Below are 6,303 nucleotides of genomic sequence, written 5' to 3' on the forward strand. Positions count from 1 at the left end.
TTTTGCCAATGAAAAAGACCACAGTAAATTTAGAGGAGAAAAGGGCCGGATAGGCAGGTGAAATGACCTTGAGAGAAAGGAGAGGAGATAGAGCGGCAGTATCAACTACACGTAATATGCACCGGTGCGTCTGGCCTGAAAATAAGTTCCTTCGACAATATATCCTGTAGGTACTTTGCTCTGCTTCATTTTTACCTTTATCAGATGGTCATTAAGATTTCCTAAGCTCAAAATTCTTTGATTCTCCATTGCCACATCTGTGTGCCATGTTTGACCTCCGTGCAAGTTAGAACGCACAGGGCATTAGGAGCCACACGAATTTTTTTTTTTTTTTTTTTTTTACCAGGAGCTTCTATTTTCTTGTGTCAATTATTTGTGCTCTATATTATATTGTGCTGCAATGCAGCAAAAATTACTGGCAAGATCAAAATATTCTAAAGGTAGACTTTTCAATAAGAAACATTATAAATACAAAACCAATGTTACCAGTTATCGCTAAACTAACCTGTTCAGAATGTGCAATTCTAGCCCTGGGCAGAATGGATACCTCAAGATATTGGTTTGCTGCAGCTAAATGGATACTTTGCCCCATATGTTTTTCAGCCGCAAAAGCCTTAACAGACCTGCAGTTACAGACTCAGGGAAAAGCTTGTACTGTTGTTTGTGGATCGCAGGGAAGCCAGAGTTGCAGCTGACTTTCTGTCCACGAGATGGCGGTAGAGGAGCACAGAAAAAAGAAACCATCTTGGGCTGTTAATCATGTTGACTGTTGAGAAGCTAAGAGGGAAGCCGATCTGTCATTAGGTAAGACCAAGCCAAAATTTATGGATTTCATACCTTAGTGGAAAACACTGGTTTGTGGCTCATGGCTGTTTCTAAGACCTTTTGATTTTATACAAAAATTCCATTCAACTATCATCATCAAATAGCTGTCCCTATTTTTCCTTGATTTTGGCATATTTTAGCTTTTTACAGCTGGATCAACTGATGGGCTTCATTTTCCGCCCAGGTCAGCCCCAAGTGCTGAGGCAGTCCTAACAGGAGCAGAAAGGATAACAGCTGCCTCTGTGCAGGTGTGTTTGATCAGCAGCGCTTAGGCCATATATTCCAGGGGCTGGCATTTCCAGCTTCTCAGGTGGGATTCATTTCTGCCTCCTATCAAGATTCATATGGTGAGAAATTCATTAAATAGGAAAAAGATTTAGATGCTGGTTTAGGCAACCAACGACAATGATATAGGAATATTGACCAAGACTAAATTCAGGTGGTCATCCACAATTGGTAAGACATTTAAACACTAACTAGTATCCCAAATAACTCCCTCTCCCTCCCCCACACTATCATTCTGCTTCTCTTTCCTTTCTCTTCTTTACTGCCCAGCAGATCCTGAATCTGGAACCTGAAGGGGAAGTTCTTGGTACCCTTCCAGCTTTGGATTCTCTAACTCTGTTTTCTATTGAGTTTTACCTTGCCTAGGATTCTTCTATGCAGTATTCAATTGTTCGTCTCCTGCTTGGGGAGAATAGTTCTAAGAACGTGAACAGCTTACCTAAGAAACCATGGCCATGTCTTGCCCATGCCCCTCTGCCCCTAAAATGTATCTCCTAATGTGGACAATTCTCTGGGTCACATCTGAGTATTCTGTCTTTCTTCTTTTTCTACTTCTTCTTTTTTTTTTTTTTTTTTGAGGCAGGATCTCACTCTGTCACTCAGGCTGTATTGCAGTGGTGTGATCCTAGCTGATGCAATCTTGACTAAAGTGAACTAAAGTGAGCCTCTTCTCTCAGCCTCCTGAGTAGCTGGGACTACAGGTGCATGGCACCTCACCCAGCTGATTTTTACAATTTTTATAGAGACAGGGTCTCACTACGTTGCTCAGGCTGATCTCAAAGTCCTGGCCTACAGTGATCCTCCCACCTCAGCCTACCAAAGTGCTGGAATTACAGGCATGAGCCACCATGCCTGGTGCATCCCAGCTTTTTAATAAAGTGCAGCACCAAATAAATACTCCTGGGAGTGAGAAGGGAAGGAAAGGAGCCAGGCAGGGTCTGAGACAAAGCCTGAATCAGTCCAGCCTCACAAAGAGAGAATTTTGTGGTGCCTTCTATTTTATTTCAAAAATGTTTGTGAGATTTGCATTCTACTAACATGTATTTATGCTTGTTTTAATATATTAAAACGCATTTAATTGCTTTGACATTGAGTAAAATTGCTCCAGGAAAATGCAACATGTTTATCCTGTGACTTTGAGTCCTTTTGGCCGCACTGACAATTACCCCTTGAATTTGAGTTTCTCAGTTAAGATTAGGTAGGAGTAGTGGTAAGGTGATGGGTTTAGAAATCAGACTGAACTGGTTGATTCTAGCTACCCTAGTTCACTAATTGTGTAACCTTGGACATGATATGGGGCCTCTCAGTCTCATCTTTTTAATACATAAATAGGAATACTTGTAACCATATAGGATTGTTGTGAGGTGTAAATGCTAGAATGTGCACAAAAGGACAGAAAGTGTATAAAGCAGTTAGTACCTGATACACAAGGGACACACTCAATAAATGTTCTATCATTGTTATGAATGAGCCGTTTGGATACTGCATTGAACAATCCATTCGATCCCATTTGTTGAATATGAACTTAGTCTGGTATTTTCAATAGTACCAAGTTAAAATATGGCTTCTTACAAGGCAAAGGCAACCTATAAAATATAAGAGTTGCTTTAATATTGTTCCCTATGGCTTGTGTCTCTTTCAGTAAGGCAACCTATATAAATAAAACATTTTCAGTTTAGAGAAAAGGAGTGGGAGTGGGGTGAGGACAGGGCTTATTTTTCACTCCATAGCTTAACTCTTTGGCTCTGAGATGATCTGATGACTTGGCAGTTGGCAGTTAGCTGATGGCATCAGCTTTTTAGAAGCCAGAGCAAGACAACATTTCAAAGAAGATAGGAGAGTAGTAGTTGGCTCTGGCTATAAAATTCAGTTTTTAACTTTGGTTTCTGATCGCCTACAATGACCATAGTCCCCTTTTCCCTCTTTGCTCCCAAACAAAGCAGAGATGGAAGTTCTGTAGGGTTCAGGGACTAGTTAATTCTTCATGTCGGCTCAATGCATTTTGGAAGAGGATCTGAGAAATAGCCACCTTATGTGACCTCCTGAATAAAACTTACTCATATAGGGTAAGTAAGGAAATGCGTAAGTAAGGAAATCTAGTAGATTTAAGGCATTGCCTCAAGTTCTCTCAGATATAAATACATTTGATGCCTTGGCCTGGCGCTCAAGTACTTTACACATGAACAGGGGAAACAGCATATTCTTATGCAACACTATATTTAATGCAATCACCAATGTAAGCTCAATTAGCACAAGGACTCTCTTAATCAATTAATTAATCTGACAAACAAAGTATACACAAGATCTGAAACTGTGTGGTGTGGATTTGATCGAACAAGGTATGAGGTTTGTACTTAAAGATCTTACCGTCTAGTTAGAGGGAGGCAAATAAACAGGTAATTATGATGCAGTCTCTAACAGAAGGTGCTAACTCTGCCTGAGGGAGTCAGGTGAGGCCTTAAATCTGAGTGTGTTGACAGACTTGTGTCTTTGTAAGGTCTACGTGGTTGTTGCAAGCAGATTGCATTGGAAGAATTCTGCTGGTGTTGAAAAGGAAAGGATGAATACTGAAGGCATTTTAAACTTTAGAAGGTAAAGGACGGCTTGCAGGTCTCTGTAACTTACGACGTAGAGAATCAGAGGAGAGGAAAAGTCTATGGTGATTCTAAGGCATAGAACTGACTGGGTGCCCAGTAGAATGGTGGTGTCATGACACAGAAGGAAAACATAATGATGACCAACTAATTTTGGCTTTCAGAGTAGGATAAGTTTACAGTTTACAGGTTAAACTTGAGATGTAATTTCTAAGTGTATATTAAGTAATTTATAGCTAAAGCTGTTGGGAATTTTTTACTGGGCCTTTACTCTCTGTATCCACTAACAATAGCTAACATGTTGAAATATATAAAATTAAAGTGTATTTTGTATAAACTTGGGAAGGATTATCAGAATATATTAGAAATATATTATCAGAATATGTTATGTCAGAATATGTTAAATTAAAGGTATTTGCTACTGATATTAATAGAGATGTAAATTAAGGGGATGTGGAAATGCTAATGAATGAGTAAAGTGAGAAAAGTTAAACTAAAAAATTAAAGTAATTCTCTCTCAGAAGTCCTTTGTGACAAAAATAATCAATTTCCCCAAATTCTCTTACCTTTACTTCTTGAAAGTCTTTCAAATCTGTCTCCTTGTCTTCAACCATATTTCCATTGGTTTAGCTAAAGCCTTCCCTCCCCATTCTGGGTTAATAAGAATCTATTAAGTTTCCATCTCGCTTCCAGTCTCATTACCCCCGTCCACTTTCCACACTGTTATTTGAATGATCATTAGAAAGGACACATTATTATATTACACCCTTTGTATAAATGCATCCACTGGCTCTCTCTCTTCTCTAGCATCTTAGCGCTCTCTTAGATTCCGATATTTTTACTTTTCACCCCACATAATTGTACACACACGGACTTTCCATATTAAGGTCTGTACTTTTTGAGTCTAGGGACAATGTCTTATTCATTTCTGCATTTCCTAGGTCTAGAACCATATCCTTCTCTTATTATATTCTTGATAAGTGTGGGTTTATTATGGGCTGAATTTGGCTCCTTGAATTCATATGGTGAAGCCCTAATCCCAATGTATGTGGAGATGGGACCCTTAAGAAGGTAATTAAGGTTAAATGAGGTCATAAACTTGAGGTCCTAATTCAATAGGACTGGTGTTCTCACAAGAAGTGGCAGAGACACCAGAAGTAGTGCCTGTGCCAAAAGGAAAGACCATGTGAACACACAGAGAAGGTGCTGTCTGCAAGACGAGAGGCCTCATCATATATGAACAATGTTGGTACCTTGCTCTTGGACTTCCAGAACTGTGAGAAGATAAATTTCTGTTGTTTAAGCCACTCAGTCTGTGGCACTTTGTTAAAGCAGCCCAGCCAGACTAATACAGGGTTGAATTGGGCAGATGTGATGGATCATGTCTAGTACATATTTGCCATGAGAGGTCAATATCAATCTCTCTAGGTTTCTTGGCATTGCAGGTCATCTCTAAGTTCATGTGACAAAAATAGATCAGTAAGAAATTGTTCTTAGCTGAGGACTCAAGGCTGATATTAGGTTTGTTTGAATACTAATAAACAGTCAAGTATTTTTTAAAGAAATGCACTCTAAGAGGGGCTTTTGAAATTTTTCCTGCACAAACTCCTGGGATGTGAAGATGACCTAAGGAAAGTTGATGCTGTTAGGGGAAAGAGCAAAAGAAGAATTACTGGGAATCCAAGAGTATGTCCATATATGTCAGGACCCATAGGGTTTTATAGGCTCATGAATCAAGCGTGTGGCATCCTGATTTTGATTTAAGATTATCCACTGGGGAGCAGATTTTCTTTGAACTTTGCTTAAGCCTTCATGAACAAAGAGATCCTTCAGATATGCACTGTGAACTTCCTGATATAGTAACATGGGTCTCTTGGGGATGGTTGTTTCACATAATTTACCACATGCACAGACTGGACACACACCACTGCTCACTGTAGCCCAAACAGTATTTAGAGAGGTGCTGCTAGCAATCTGGCCTTCTGCTTTCAGCTTGGTGGCTGCTCCAAAGTTATTCAGAGAGTTAAGATGGAAAGAAAACCAGAGAATTACAAAGAAAAAAACAAGGATAAGGGGCTTCATTAAGCTACCTCACAAATGATGAATCCCCAAACCAAAAATTAGTAGGAAGTATCAAAGCCGAGTCTTACCTTCACAGTTGCCATAACTTTTTAACTTCTGCTGTGCATTTCTTTATCTGATTTATTTCATCAACTTGGTCAAATTGTGCGTCTGTGTGTGTGTGTGAGAGAGAGAGAGTTGGAGCTCTCTTCTATAATGATGTTTGTGATGTTACTCTCTTTTATTATGAGCATAATGCTTATTTGCATGATTTATCATTTTCAGTATGCTTTCTCAGCTTCTCTATTATTTGCTTCATACATTGGCCACATTAGGTTACTGCAAGGACAGCAATTGTTTTATTTAGTACACTGCTTAATGCTACACAGCCCAGCACTCTCCAAGTTTATCCATCAATGATTCATCCAATGATTATGATAGGTTTAGAGAAATGAAAATTCTGGACATCTTTCAGATAAAAGACCAAACAATTCCATAGGGATGCTTTTATAACATTTGAACTGTAGGGAACTCAGAT

At 39.2% G+C, this 6,303-nt stretch overlaps 1 annotated feature.

Moving 5' to 3' along the window:
• Positions 5,665 to 5,744: an enhancer, noted in NCBI's record as "active region_20188". NCBI's record gives its function as "activates an Ori minimal core promoter by ATAC-STARR-seq in GM12878 lymphoblastoid cells {active_cell/tissue: GM12878}" and the evidence as "EXISTENCE:reporter gene assay evidence [ECO:0000049][PMID:35858748]".

Source organism: Homo sapiens, chromosome 3 (assembly GCF_000001405.40).
Source record: "Homo sapiens chromosome 3, GRCh38.p14 Primary Assembly".
NCBI classification, from domain to species: Eukaryota; Metazoa; Chordata; class Mammalia; order Primates; family Hominidae; genus Homo; species Homo sapiens.